The sequence below is a fragment of the Homo sapiens genome, chromosome 7, assembly GCF_000001405.40.
Source record: "Homo sapiens chromosome 7, GRCh38.p14 Primary Assembly".
NCBI classification, from domain to species: Eukaryota; Metazoa; Chordata; class Mammalia; order Primates; family Hominidae; genus Homo; species Homo sapiens.
The window spans coordinates 111,040,343-111,056,563 of NC_000007.14; the positions used below are offsets into that span (position 1 = coordinate 111,040,343).

General features: G+C 37.3%; 1 protein-coding gene across 23 annotated transcripts in view, besides 1 other annotated feature; it reads right to left on the reverse strand.

Annotated features, from left to right (window-relative positions):
* IMMP2L (inner mitochondrial membrane peptidase subunit 2) overlaps window positions 1–16,221 on the reverse strand; it is an 899,849-nt gene that overhangs the window by 377,699 nt on the left and 505,929 nt on the right. The window lies entirely within an intron of this gene.
* Window positions 11,392–12,044: an enhancer, noted in NCBI's record as "OCT4-NANOG hESC enhancer chr7:110691790-110692442 (GRCh37/hg19 assembly coordinates)". NCBI's record gives its function as "activates a minimal SCP1, AML or CMV promoter by ChIP-STARR-seq in naive H9 embryonic stem cells {active_cell/tissue: H9 hESC(naive)}" and the evidence as "EXISTENCE:reporter gene assay evidence [ECO:0000049][PMID:30033119]".

Below are 16,221 nucleotides of genomic sequence, written 5' to 3' on the forward strand. Positions count from 1 at the left end.
AATGTTAGGTCACCTAGACTGATAGCAGTAGTGATATTGAAAACTTTATTCAAACAACTTGAATTTTTATTCTTACTGAAGCAAATACCCAGTTTAGGGGATGTTCTACCCTGAGTTTAATAAAATGTATTCTGCCAAACAATTACAGCAAAGGGAGTGTTTAATCAAATTTATCTAACATTTGATTGTATATCCTGAAAATCTTTTAATCTAAAAGATATTTATATCTAATATTTAAATATTAGATATAAATATCAGGTACAGCAGCATATCCTAACTTAAGAGGAAAGCCTGTGGCCACCTGAAAGTACTGACAGAATTAGAAAGGCAAAGAAAGAGAGTAAGAATTTGATTTAAATATATAAATCTAATATTTAATATTATATAATTATATAAAATCTTATAAACCTTATAAAACCTTATAAAACTATATAAAATCTAATATTAAATCTAATATTTAATCTAAAAGATATTTAAAACTGATGCATAACAAAAGATGTATAAGATTTTAACTTGGGCAATAAAGCATGGTATGATAAATCAAGTTTTAGTTACATCACTTATAAATTTATAAACATTTATGTTTATAAATTAATACTGATGCTATTACTTGGCTCAAATATTGTACTGAGGAAAAATACTCAACTTTAGCTTGCATTCACTTACAAACATACAATATCAACATACAATTCTAGCTGTTCTGAGTTATCATTCCCAGCTAGTATTTTGGTATGATAATCTTCTAGAAGATAATCCTGCTTAGGGATTAGTGGCTAATTCTTATGACCATGTACCACCTAAGGAAATTTAAATTATTGTTTTCCTGGGGCTCACAAATTTTTGAAATTTTTTCATTAAAAAATATGTAAGTGCCTACAAGGTAAAATAATATGAAACTAAACTTAGCTGAGGTGTGGTCTAAAGAATAAGTTTACAGAAAAAAAGGCCTTGAAATCAACTAAATTTGTTTCACAAAATGAGTAAAAATATGTGTAAATAAAAAGTCTAAGCATGTACTTCTGTCTTCTTAAAATGTGTCTTTGTGGCAGCTCATTCTATCTTCTTTATTATAAATATCCAATTATAGAAAAAGGCAGCAATGATCTCTTAACTGCCAGATGAGTGGCTTTTCTAGTTTGCATTCTTTTAACCACTCAGGGGCACATGTAAAGTTAAACTCTTTTTGATATTCTGTCTTTCCTTGGCTTACGAGATAGCGTTTTCCTGAATCTGTTCACTCTCAGTCTACATTTCTGATGTGTGTTTGTCACCAGTCACTTAAGTGTTACTAGATCCCGGGGCCCTATCCTTGAGAATCTCCTTTCCTTTTCTATTTGTACTCTTCTACTCTGATGGCTTAAAATTACTAGGTGCACATGATTCTGATTTGTTTTCAGCCCAGGGCTTTCCTTTGAATTTCTGACTCACACTTCCTACTAGGGCATAGACATCAGGTGTCCCGCATATAGTACATAGGGATATGAGGCAATCTAGTGTAGTTAGTGTCAAGAGCATAGGCTCTGAAGATAGAATGCCTCAGTTTGAATGCTAAGTCTACCAGTTGTGTGAACTTAAGTTGTTTAACCCTTCTGTAGCTCAGTTTCCTTATCTGTGAAATGGAGGTAAAAATAACAATCTATATTATAGGGCTTTTATAAGGGTGAAATGAACTTTGAATGGAGACTGGCATATAATAAGTATTACATAGTGTGTGTTAAATGAAATAAGTAACACTATAATTTATGATTCTTAAAATATTCCTTATAATCCCCCTTATGCACATATTTGTAAAGTTGCATGTCCTGAGTTTTAATATGGCCATCATAGATACCATTTAAAGTTTTTTCTTTTTTTTGAGACTGAGTCTCGCTCCATGGTCCAGGCTGGAGTGCAGTGGCACAATCCGGGCTCACTGAAACCTCTGCCTCCTGGGTTCCAGTGATTCTCTTGCCTCAGCCTTCTGAGTAGCTGGGATTCCAGGTGCACACCACCACACCCAGCTAATTTTTGTATTTTTATTAGAGAAGGGGTTTCACCATGTTTGGCCAGACTGGTCTCAAACTCCTGACCTCAAGAGATCCACCCGCCTCAGCCTCCCAAAGTGTTGGGATTACAGGCGTGAGCCACCAATCCCAGCTACCATTTAAAGATTTTATCTTGTGCAAGGGTTAACTTGGTGATATCTAAGCTTGAGGCACTTGGATAAACAACAAGCTCAAGCTCAAGCTAGATGCTCGCAGAGGTCAAAGGGCTCCTGGTTAGGCAAAGAGAAGCAGGGATATAGAGCAGGCCATGCTTGATCTATTTTATACTCCGCCTAAAATCTTAGTTCTGCCTAAGAGCTTAGTGAATAGCATGGTCTGCTCTGCCACAATAGATGACTAACATCTAAATTGGGATTTCAGGATTTTAAAGAAGCTTACAACTTTCAACCTTTCTCCATTCCTTCTAATCCACAATACCCTTTTCTTGACCCACTCTCTGGTATTCTGATGCTAGGGAAAATAATAAAGAAATTTAAGAAGGCTATATGTCTTGAAAGGGCAGAAATTATGTCTTGTTCACTGTAACCCAGCACCTAAGCAGAGTGCCTGGCTTATAATTGAAATTCGATAAATACTTCTTGAATAAAACAATAAATGTCAAAAGTGGATGGGGCAAAAGAAGTCAAATTTCTATTTCTACAGCTGATACTGCTGACTCAACATGCCTCAGAAACAACCATATACTACACTCCCACTCCACCTCACCCAATCCACACATACTCCTGTAATTCCTAACAGTAGCTGCTAATGGCCCAACCTGTAGTAAGTCTCAAAGACAATCCGTTATATCCTCCTTTAATTTTTAAAATATGAAAAGAAATACAGAGGATCCTTTCCTAAAGGTGTCTCTTGAATTAAGCACATCCTATGATTTGATTTAAGTGGCAAAAAATTGATTTTTAAAAGTGTTAATACAGTATAATGATAAGGTATTATAATTAACTCAGCCAGGAAGCCTGAAATTTCATGGTTACTTAATGTCCCACCTTCCTCCCCTTTTCCTCTCAACGTTAACATCTCAACAGTTTATTTATACAGTACTCAAAAATGCCTATAGGAAAATACATAAACTTTAAATGAGATGCAAATTTGACATCTGCCAGTTCAGTCTTGCACAGTTTTATCTTCTCCATCTTAGCTGAATTTGAGAGTTTTCTTTAGGTACAAATTCATTTCCTTCTAAATATTATGGGTTAAACATTAAATACAAAAAGAACAAACAGAATAGTAAAAAGCTATGTTTCAATACTGGAAAATGCAAATATCACTGTGTGACCTTTGATATAATAGTTTTTTAGTCTAACACCAGAAATAATTATATCAGTGGCCTGCTTCCTGCCATCTCTACAGAGGTGTAATGAAGAAATCTTAGTTAATATGTACTAGACAAGAAAGTAGCTTAGAAGACAATGCTTTTAATTACTAAACAGGAAGCAAAAAACAGTTGTGGACAGGAATATTAAATAGAGATCATCACTTGACCTTCAAATACAAGAGAATGACTAATAATTTTGTCAGCTCTTTTGTCAGTAAAGGGATTTGATAGGGGTATGTAAGAATGTTCATAGTCCGAAAGATACTGACCCTTTAATAAAAATAATAAAAACACTGAGGCATTCACCAAGTTAATAATTCTTGTCATTTCAGTATCAATCAAAAGACATTATGTCAAGCAACTATATTCTCTGAACCATTTTCAGTACAGTGAACTTAACTGTTCCCTGAATGCCTTCTGATCTATTTAGATGTTTCTTCACCAGCATCATCAAAAACATTATATAGAGTCTCACCTTCATATATTATGGAATAGGATAAAATGCCAAATGCAGAGAATTAAATCAACATTGCCTTTGATCTCTAAGGACCTAGAATCTGAAATTGTACATACTGGGCTGAGCATGGTGGCTCATGCCTGTAATCCCAGAGCTTTGGGAGGTCAAGGCCAGTGGATCACCCGAGGTCAGGAGTTCAAGACCAGCCTGGCCAACATGGTGAAACCCCGTCTCTACTAAAAAATACAAAAATTAGCTGGGCATGGTGATGAGCACCTGTAATTCCAGCTACTTGGGAGGCTGAGGCAGGAGAATCACTTGAACCCAGGAGGCAGAGATTGCAGTGAGCCGAGATTGCACCACTGCACTCCAGCCTAGGCGACAAGAGCGAAACTCTGCCTCAAAAAAATAAAAATAAAAATAAAATTGTACACACTATAATTCTGGATATCTTTATGAACAAATCAGATAAGCCATTTGTCAATCTACTGTCATATTTCTTAACTATTCAAAATTGGTTGATGAGTGACAGATGCACAACACTAACGCAAAAATGGCATGACCAATGGAAAGAAACAAAGGAACCAATTTGATACTTTTTTTATCCCATCAACAAGTTACAAATATGTAAGTGGGCTTTAAGTGAACTAATGAATGACAATCTTTTTAAAGTTTACATATATAGACAGTGGGTAGTTGACAACTCTGGAGACTATTTGATTATAATTTATTTATGTTTATTTATAATTTATTTATACACTGCCTGGACTTAAGGCAGCTAACAGAGCTGTGAAAATATAATGAAAAAATAACTTTAAAATGAAAAAGATAAAGCAGAGAGAATATAAAGATAGAAAAGTAATAAAGAGATAATAATTAATATATAAATTCCAGTCAATATAGCCCTGCTAGGCAAAACTGCTAAAAGCACTCACAGATTCCACTTTCAGCTTTCAGACACAAAGATTACAACAGCTATAAGGTAAAACAAAATTTGCGTCTCTGTAAAAGAACAACTATTTGGCTTGCTAGTTAGCCTACTCAGCCAAAACAACAAAAGAAATCCTTGATTTTTTCCATTTCCCTCACCTGTCAGACTCAATCCATTAGTAAATTCTATGGGCTTTACTTCCTAAATATATCCTCAAAATATGCCCATTCTTCATTTCTAATGACACAACCCTAGTCCAATATACTACCCTTTCTCATCTGGATTCTTCCAAAAGCCTCTTATCTGGTCTCTGCACAATTTATTCCCTACATAGTAACCAGTAAGATCATTTAAAAACACAAATCAAATCTTGTCACTCCTCTGTATACAACTGCCTGTGGCTTTCTACTGTACTTTCAACAAAATCCAAGCTCTTTCCCATGATATTTGTGATCCAGACCTTGACCATCTCTCTAAACACATCTCTAGGATCCTTAAAAGTAAAAACAGGAGGCAGGAGAACAGTCAGTGCCAGAGTGATGCAATATAAGACTCTATGAACCACTGCTGGCTTTGAAGGTGGAATGGAGCCATGAGCCAAGGATGCAGGCAGGCTGTAGAGGCTGGAAAAGGCAGGAAAACTAATTCTCCCCTAGAGCCTCCAAAAGGAATGCAGCCTTGCTGATGCCTTGATTTTAGCCTAGTGAAACACATCAGACTTCTGACCTACAGAATTGTAAGGTAATAAATTTGTGTTATGATAAACCATTAAGTTTGTGTTAATTTGCTATAACAGCAATTTGAAACAAATACAGATTGGAATAAAAACCTCCCACCCAAGATAAAAATACAGAACAAAATTATGAAACATCTTTTAAAAGGGTAACAATAAGGGAAGGCCAATAAAATAAAATTTAGGAGAAATACTCACTAGATAAAAATACAAATCTTAACATAATCTAAAGAATTTGAAAAAAGTTTACAAACTCAAAAAGATGAAAGATGACATGTCCATAAAATAAAACATAATTCAAACAAATTAAAAAATACCAAGTACAAATGAAGAAGAAACAATTAGAAACACAAGAATAAAATATGTATAGTCATTAAAATTTTAAAAAGAACCAATAGATTAAATAAACTGTAGACTTACCACAGTAAAAGAAAGAAGTAGAAATTTTCAAAGAGCATTAAGAGGCACACAATGCATCCCAGAAAGATAATGCAATTAAAAAAATAAAGGAGCAGTTAAAGGACATGAGGGAGATATTGAGAAGCTCCAACATATATCCAGTAGGTGTCACACAAAAGAGAGAAAGGGAAACAAAATTAGGAGAAATAATGAAAAAGAAGTTTCCAGAACTGAATAAAGATATATAGAAAAGTATACACTGAAAGTCAAGAAGGAAAACAAAAAATAAATCCACCTGTAGAAACATGATAGGGAGTCTATAATAAATGAAGATAAAAAGAAAAGCTTTTCTCATTAGCAACAGATTACAGAAGACTATTAAATACTATGTTCAAAATATGAGGGAATTAGAACTCTATACCAGCTAAACTATTAGTCAAGAATGAGCTACATAAAAGATGAATATCATTCAAGGTCTATTTTATCTTAATAATGAAATTATGTCCATATATACCAAAGAAAGGGAACAAGGGATGAAATGATAACAATAATTTACATTTCGAGGTGTTTACCACTTGCCAAGCCTGGTGTTGGGGACTCTACATTCACTACTTTCATTCACGGAGCAATGACTGAGTACTCGGGCATTGGGCCAAGAGCGTACATCTAACACAAGCTAATCCTCCAAGCACTTATCAGATAGGCATTATATTAAAAATAAAAATAAAAACCAGGGCCCATGGAAGCTAAAGCTAAAGCAGATCTTGCTAAAGCAAGATCATATATCTCCTTTGCTACTTTCATATAGCTCCTCAGCTACTAAGTGGCAGGGAATCATTTGCTTACACTTTTGCTGTTTCCTGTCTCTATGCTGGAAACACATCGTTACCTCTGCTGGGAATGTCTTTTCTCATCCCCTAACCAGGCAGTTTAACTTCAAAATGTCTTTTTTGTTTTTTTTTTGTTTTTTTTTTGTTTTTTTTGAGACAGAGTTTCACTCTTGTTGCCCAAGCTGGAATGCAATGGTGTGATCTTGGCTCACCACAACCTTGCCTCCCAGGTTCAAGGGATTCTCCTGCCTCAACCTTCCAAGTAGCTGGGATTACAGGCAGGCATCACCATTCCTGGCTAATTTTTGTATTTTTAGTACAGAAGGGGTTTCTCCATGTTGGTCAGGCTGGTCTCGAACTCCTGACCTCAGGTGATCCACCCACCTTGGCCTCTCAAAGTGCTAGGAATACAGGCATGAGCCACCGTGCCCAGCCCTTCAAAATTTATTTTAAAGTTTTTTTCTTTCTCTTGGATTTCAAGATACAACCTTGAAGCAAACTGTAGAAGCCTTTTTCCTTAGTCTTAAAATAGATTCTATGACCCTCCTTTTCTCACCGTATGTACTCCCTTCACACTCATCTAACTGTATGCTAATATCTAATTATGTGTCTTCTTAGAAATTCCAGGGGCTAATATTGAGACAGACAGACTTGGTCTAGAGACCCAGCTGCAAAATACCAGAGATTAAGGTGGTGGCTAGTTAACAACCCAGCCATTGTTGAGACATCAGTCCAAGGTCCAGGTGGACTGGGACCAAAGACAGACAGCCACCAAAACAAGATACATGTGCATTGTACTCAGCCCAATTCTTGCACACCTTCCTTATCAAGCTTTCCCTTTTTAAATGCCTGCCATCCCCCCAAAAAGCGAAGCAGTTACTTTGGATAGAAATATGGCTGCTTCCTGCCGGGTGTGGTGGCTCACGCTTGTAATCCCAGCACTTTGGGAGGCCGAGGCAGGCAGATCACAAGGTCAGAAGATTGAGACCATCCTGGCTAACACGGTGAAACCCCGTCTCTACTAAAAAATACAAAAAATTAGCCGGGCGTGGTGGCAGGCACCTGTAGTCCCAGCTACTTGGGAGGCTGAGGCAGGAGAATGGCGTGAACCCGGGAGGCAGAGCTTGCACTGAGCCGAGATTGAGCCACTGCACTCCAGCTGGGCGACAGAGCGAGACTCTGTCTCAAAAAAAAAAAAAAAAAAAAAAAAAAAGAAAAAAAGAAAAAAGAAAAAAAGAAATCTGGCTGCTTCCCCTTTACTAGTTTTGGTTAATAAGTTCACTTTCTTTCTACCAGATCTTGCTCTTGTTAACTGGACTCTGCAAGCAGTGAGCATCTGGGCCTGCTTGGCTCGGTTACAATCCTTCTGGAACTGATTCAAATACCACCTTTGTAAAGTCTTTGCTGACCACCACCATCAGTCACCATAGTTGCTTCTATTCTGTTTTCCCACTGAGGTACATATTGTACCTTAATCATAGTACTTAACATACTAACACTGGTTATTGTTAGATGCTATTTTGGGGGAAGGAGGCCTGTAATACCACCATAGTCAATAAATATTTGTTGAATAAGTCAACAAGCAAAATAACATTTTAAAATATATACTATAATGCTAGGTACATCGTCAAGAGGTTGTGATTATTAACGTGAACTCTGAGGAATATTATATTTGTGTTTCATAAAGACTATAAAAAGACAACTTGGTCAGAGCAGGATATTAGGAAGAAGTGACCATAAATAAATTCATTTAAATAACTTACATTTCCTGAGCATCTATCTTCTGCAAAGATAGATGCTCATGTACTGCAGGGACACCAAGCTGGTCGCTGTCCTCAGAAGAGATTCTGACATATCCAAATGCTACGTACATTAGTTTGAAATCTAAGAAAAAGTGTGCATTAAGTGGACCCAGAGTTGTTACACTGCCATGCTCTATTAGTAGAGACCAACTTAAATATATACCATTTTATCTGATAGCCAAATACCTCCAGGCATCTTTTAAAATTAAAATGCTAAAGAAACTGCTCTGTTTAAGCTTAGGGCATTGATTTTTATGATACTTCTTTTTTTTTTTTTTTTTCTTTTTTTTTTTTGGGACGGAGTCTCGCTCTGTCGCCCAGGCTGGAGTGCAGTGGCGTCATCTCGGCTCACTGCAAGCTCCGCCTCCCGGGTTCACGCCATTCTTCTGCCTCAGCCTCCCGAGTAGCTGGGACTACAGGCGCCCGCCACTACGCCCGGCTAATTTTTTTGTATTTTTAGTAGAGACGGGGTTTCACTGTGTTATCCAGGATGGTCTCGATCTCCTGACCTCGTGATCCACCCGTCTCGGCCTCCCAAAGTGCTGGGATTACAGGCGTGAGCCACCGCGCCCGGCCGATTTTTATGATACTTCTAAAAAGTATTAAGGGATATTAAAACTTCAGCCTATAGCTAAGTGACCTTTTAGTTTCTTTAAACTTCCAGATAATTGATCACCCTTTGTAGGAAGTTGTCATTACTTCAGAATGTCTATTCCCTTTGATCCACCCCTTAAATTCTACATACTTAGAAAATTTTCTTTTTTCTTAAAAGTGTACGTAGCAACAGAATATTAAATTGGCTCTCTTTGTCCTAGTTCATCTGAAATACTGGTTAAGAACAAAAAACTATTTGTCAAATACTTCCAAAACAAATTCCAAAGCAAAGGCAAAATGCAAGACCATTTTTGCAGGATTTGCAAAGGACGCAGTCAAAAGTTTTGCAGTTCAGCACCCACACTGAGGCCATAAAGGGACTGAAGACAGTAAATATTTAGGGGAAATTAACTGCTGTTCCGTGAGTCCCACCGCCCCCATAGGGAAGTGTGAGAAATGAAAAGAGCTACTGGGAGATGCCATCTGAGAGCACAGTGGACAGACTGGTCTGATCTTTACCAAAGAAATCTAAGAAACAGGCTGGCTGAAGAGGACTGTGAGGGAACTCTCCTCTCCTTGGTCAAAGGTTTCAATTTTGAGGAGGCACAGTCTCAAATTTCAAAATTTATTCCACTGGAATAGTGCTAGTAAAGTAAAATGATTGTGCTCCAAAATGAAGTATATAATAGGCATTCAATAAGCACTCACTGGATAATCCCATACTGTCCTTTCACGAAAACCTTTTCTAATGCAATCAAGTGGTTTTAATCCATAGAAATTGATGTCCACTGGGAGCAATACAGTAAAGAATCTTACAGATTTTGAAGCCAAATTCACCATATTTAAATTATAACTCTCTCACTTCCCCCTTCTGAAACTTGGGAGAAATTGTATCAATCTCTAGGAGCTTAGTTCTTCCATCTGTGAAATATAGGTAATAAAACCTAGTTAGAGGGTTGTGATGAATAAAGAAAACAACTGTAAAGTATCAGCACAATACTGAAAAGTCTAAACATATCAGCCCACTCTCTCTCACCCCGTTTCTATTGACGCGTTCTTTCTTTAGGTATGTTAATGTTAAATGGTCTTGTTTAAAGGGGACATCTTTTTTGCTGCTTTTTGCCTGGCAGATTGACAGTCTTTTTAAAGTGATCTTACAATATGTGAATTATCTACCGTGTGTGGATTTTAGTAGTTTAAAGTCTCCGTTTCGGGGTGACTCAATGCAACTCTAATTGCTGCCTGTTTATCAATACCAGCCTAAAAAATATATCATTTTGGGTTCAACTACATTTGTGCCTAATACATACCACATCTTTTCAAAAGTTACGTATTTATTTATGCCCTTAAAAACACACATCTGTGGTATCCATGCGCCTTGGAAAAGAAATCAGAACTGGGTCAGTTGAAAGCACAGGATATATTCAAACTGTTTTAGTCATCAGTCCTCTTGTCTAGAAAACTTCAGTGAAAGCTGAATGAGCTAATTACAGGAAAAGAAATTAACAAATAAAAAAGCTGACTTAAGAGTTGCTGGGAAACAAAGGATAAAAGAAAATATTCAGCATCCTACATAAGTAGGATGTGGTTTAAGTTTTCTTATTGCTTGAGCCTAGAAGGTCAAGGCTGCAGTGAGCTATGAGTGCGCCACTGCACTCCAGCCTGGTCAACAGAGTAAGACTCTGTCTCAAAATTTAAAAATAAACAAACTTTTTTTTATGGTCTTAAGTATTTTTATGCATTTCCCTGAGTCCAAAATCAAAGGCAAAGGGAGACTAGTGTATGACTGTTTATTTCTATATTGTCAGCATTTTAATAAAACTATGCATAGTTTTTCTCTTATGTCACTGAGTTATTTTGTTTCTGAGACCACTGAATATTTTCCCTGGGGAGCATAGGAAAGTCTTCAGGAAACTATCCTGAGCGAATGCATCTAGTGAACAGTACACAGGACAAAGAAACAGGAGAGGACCAGTCTTTGTTCTGTGTCCTCTGAAGAGTCACATCTATTCTTATTATCATCAGAATATATTTCTGAAGTGTTTCAAAGCCTTTTGATAAAAACTCTTTATAAACAGAAGGCTGCTTATGTCAGTTCAAAAATTCTGAAATTCACTATAGCTCAAGCTTTCGTATTTGAAAATCTCCTGGGGAAAAATATTTGAGAAATGTCTACCTTTTGAGATATAAGTTGTTGTCTAAAAAAACAAACAAAAAATGGATTCATTCTAATTGTGGCTATTCATGGAAGGCACCATTTTAAAAAGTCAAAGCATTTATACATTGAAACATTCTTTTATTGGTAAATCTTAGGTTGTCCCATTTGAAGAATCATGATTGATTCTATCATAAGCAGCCTATCTTTTAGAATAGGTGACAAGAACATTGGTGATACTGTAAACCAAAAATGAAATTTTAAGCCTCCAACTGACTCAATGGACCTCTCCTTTTGGCCTAGGGGATCCCAGAGAAATCTGAAAATGTAGCTTAGGCCTTGACAGGAATGGAGGAGGGATATGCTTAGTTATCCATGCTCCCTTTGGAGTTTAGGCACAAATGACCAGCATTAACATTAAAATAGAGGTCATCAGAATGACAAAACAGATTCTTTGTAGCAATACCCACCTCCAAACTGTCTCTGGTATAGCATCACAGGAAAGATGGCAGGCCCTGAAAGGAATCAAAGTATTTTATCCCAAAATATATTTCTTTGACGTATTTTAAAATGGCCTTCCAAAGCCATCTCTTGTGGAGGAAATATGCATTCTGTAGAGAATCCCTTTCCCTTTCCAGGTCTTTTCCTGACCCAGGAGAGAGTAACTAAGAGTCTGACACCTTTTAAGGTCTGATAAGAGACATTTACCATCTATTCTCTTTGAAGCCTGCTACCTGGAGCCTTGATCTATTACTATATAACAAGAATCTTCACTTCCACCATCCCCTTTTACCTTACTTAATTCAAGCATTTATTTCTATTAACTTCAACTCTTTAGGCAAAGCTTAACTTTTTCAACCAATTGCCAATCAGAAAATTTTGGAATCCATTTATGTCCTGGAAGCTCCCCCTTCAATGTTCTAGATGTGCTGCTTTTCCAGGCTGAACCAATGTATACCTTACTGTATTGATTTATGTCTTTGCCTGTAACTTCTATCTCCCTAAAACGTATAAAGCCAAGCTGTAACCCAACCACCTTGGGCATATGTTCTCAGGACCTCTTGAGACTGTGTTCCTGGCCACAGTCACTCATATTTGGCTCAGAATAAACATCTTCAAATGTTTTATAGAGTTTGACTTTTTTTTGGTCACTAGTATCAATAGTAATATCAATAGTAGTATCAATAGCCTGCCAAGAAAGAAGACAGAGACTTTATAGTGTGGTTTTCCCCTTCAGAACAGGTGCTTCTTTGCCTCTACTGTCTAAATTAATAACTAGCTTCTTTGTTGGGTCATTCCCCTGTTCTTTCCTCCCCTAAAAGGTTTCTGTTTTCTCCCACAAAAATTCAGCATCAGATAAGCTTAGCTATATCTGTATCAGAGTGTTAGCGGCAGCGAATCCATACAGGTCTACAGGAACCTCAATTCTTGCCTTCTCAGAAGAATGAATTTGACTAAGGGCCATAACGCAGAAGCAGAGACCAAGGCAAGTTTTAGAGTATGAATGAAAGTTTATTAAAAAGCTTTAGAGCAGGAACAAAAGGAAGGAAAGTACACTTGGAAGAGGGCCAAGCAAGCAGCTTGAAAGATATGTGCATGATTTGACCTTTTGACTTGGGGTTTATATGTTGGCATGCTTCCAGGGTGTTGCATCCCTTCCCTCCTGATTCTTCCCTTGGGGTGGGCTGTCCACATGTGCAGTGACCTGCTAGCGCTTGGGAGGGGAGCATGTGCAGTGTGTTTACTAGAGTTGTAGGCAAGCTCACTTGAGGTGTTCTTTCCTTACCAGTCAAATGGCCCTAGGTGGTCATATACCAGTTAAACTCCAACATTTTGCCTCTTAATGTACATGCTTGAGCTCACTCACCCAGCTCCTGAGATCTTATCAGGGAGCTGCTGATCACCAATTTCAGGTGTTTATAGAAAGACTGCCTTTCCCTAGTGTCAGCTGTGACCAATTATTATTTTAGAGAGACAGGGTGACAATTGCCTGACCATCACCTGAGGGTTGCCTGACATTCCTGGTGGTGGGGGCTGAGGGAAGAGTCCTCTCCTGCTTTGTTCATGCCTGATTAGCTACCTACTGTAACAAGAGGACATACATTATAGTAGAGCAAGAAATCCAAGAAACACATCACAGGTAGGAAACTCTATTCAGTGCCAAATGCACCAAATAATCTGCTATAAATAAGTGTATCTCTGCTGTGTCAATTCCACAAGACTTAACAAGAAGGAACTATATCAGATTACAGAATAATAAAACCCATATTGCTAAACAAATTAAGCATTTTATATTTATTATTTTAATTCAAATTAACCAAGTTCTTTATGGTAGTGAGGTAAGGTAATAAAAAAACAATTCATTTTCAGAGGGAAATTAGATTTATATGAATCATTACCATGAGAAGAATCAATGAATTGGTAATTTGTAATGACAGGAAAATAAAAAAAATGGGTCACTAGGGAAAGAAGCAAATCAGTGCACTAAAATCTTTAAAACCACCACAATATGTGAAAACATATTTTTAAGAGTGTACTTAAAAGATTTCTATTTGATATATTTTAATATACAGGAATTTAAAATTCACCCATACATTGATATCTCAATTTTCAAAAAAATCTATGCCACTGAGACAGAAGATTTTTGAATCATTCTGTTGTTTTGACTTTTTAAATGTCCTTTTCTCTCCTCAGCTATTTTTTAAGCATAAGAGCTTTCCTATCTTGAAGACATTTAAAAATAGTTCATTCTGAAGAAACTATCAAAGGGACATCAACTGGCACATATGCTTGGCATCAGGGCACACCAAATGGCCCAATTAAACCATTTGCAGTCTTTACAAGATACAATTTAAATGTACCCAAGAAATGTCAAATGGTTCCTCATGTAGAATTATCTTTACCAATGAGCTATGTCCCAGGAACTGAGCACCTAAATCCCTGCAGACATCCATGAGGTACAGTTTGTCTCAGACACACACTGGAGCATGTTAATTACCACAGAAGAGAAGGCGTTTTCAAGTTGAACACAACGATCAGAAATGCCTTCTTCAGTATGGAAAATATGGTCAGAGGAACATCAAACTCTGCCAGCACCTCCCTCTGTTGGCAAGTGTATTCCCCATACCAGGTTCTAAAATCAATTGCTCTAAAATCAATCTCAGGAGGAAAACCTCTATACTTCTTCCTTTCTCCACTGGGAAAGTCTTCGACAGTTCAGGATATGTCTTCCCGATGTGATAAATTTAAAGAACAATAGTAAAAGATAGAAGAGAATTCCTAGTAAAGTTACAGGCTCAATCTATATATTCTTCACTAGAAAACCAAAATACAGCAATAAATTAGGAAACAAAATAGTTGGGCTGGCTCAAAAGTGACCACCACTAGTAGCACTGACCCTCCCACCCATCCCTTTCTCTAGTCATGGATTTGACACGTTTCTTCCTTCTTTTTTTTTTTTTCCCAGAAACAGGGTGCCACTCTGTCGCCCAGGCTGGAGTGCAGTGGTGCAATCACGTCTCACTGCAGTCTCAAACTCTTGGGCTCGGGCAAGCTTCCCATCTCAGCCTCCGAGTAGCTGGAACTACAGGTGTGAGCCACCACGTCCACTTTTTTTGTAGACACAGAGTCCCGCAACGTTCACCAGGCTGGTCTCAAACTCTTGACTTTATGGAATGTTCCTGCCTTGCTCAGCCTCCCAAAGTGCTAAGATTATAGGCGTGAGCCACCACGCTCAGCTGAGTTGGCAAGTTTCTGAACGTGGTTCTACACCTGGCACACTGATGCAGGAAGCCTGCACCTCAGAAGGCAGAGCTCTCATAGCTTGGCTGCCCTTACTTCCTCTTTGGAAGCCTGTTTCCATTGCTAAGATACCCTGACAGGGATTCTCTTCCTAACCCGTTTGCAAACCTTTGCTCAGGCCTCTGTTCTCTTCCGCACTATCTAACTTTCTGCTGGGTGCTGGTTTCTAATTTTCTTTGACCCCTGTCTGTTGTCAAACTGCTTTCGTAGGCTGGATCCTTGGGCCGCACTTCTTCGCCACTCTGCAGAAGCTTAATTGCTGTCCTTGGTCAAGAATATATAATGACAACTGACTGAAAAATAATCCATTAGGCTCCAAAGGACATAATGGGTAGAGGGATGAGGAAATTCAGGAGAAGGAGCAGAATTACTTGTAAGCCTATAAGCATCAGCCTAACCAGTAACTATGCATATATCTGAACATACATTCTTATAATCATGGGATCCGATGTGCTAAATTCTAGTAGCTAATACGCACCATGCCAATACCAGAAATTTATCATATTGATGTATGTGTGGCAATGACATACTTAGGCTAGTGCTTTTAGAATTGGCATATTTAATAAAAACTCATGACATTGAACTATTTTTTAATATTCTGTATATTTTATCAATTAAAGCCTAATATCAAAAAGCTATGTTACTTTAAATTCATCTCTAATTCTATATTTACAGATACATTTAAGAATAACCTGTTTATTTAAACAACTAATATATCTCTGAGTATATTCATATCTATTTAGCATGGCATAGCATTTAATAGATTGTTATTAATGAAAATCTAGTAAAAATAAAGCAAATAACACAAATGCAGTCTTTATCATTTATAACATAATCAGTTCCATAAAACACTACACTAATGACCTTCTGTCAACCATATAGCAGAACATGGCAATTTTGCTCAGTGATATCTTCTTCCTGCCTCTTAGGCCTGGAGTTAAGATGAAGCCTGAGATGTAAAACCAGACAGAAAGGAAGCCCTTATATTTACACACAATAATTACTTGGAAATACACTCATCAGATTAAATCCCTCTAAATATATTGATATATCAACATCATCAACATCGTTTCAAGTAGCTATGTTAGATATTTAAAACATTTGAGGTAAAGCCCTTTCGTAATAATTACAGGTGACCCTTGAACATCACAGGGTTAGA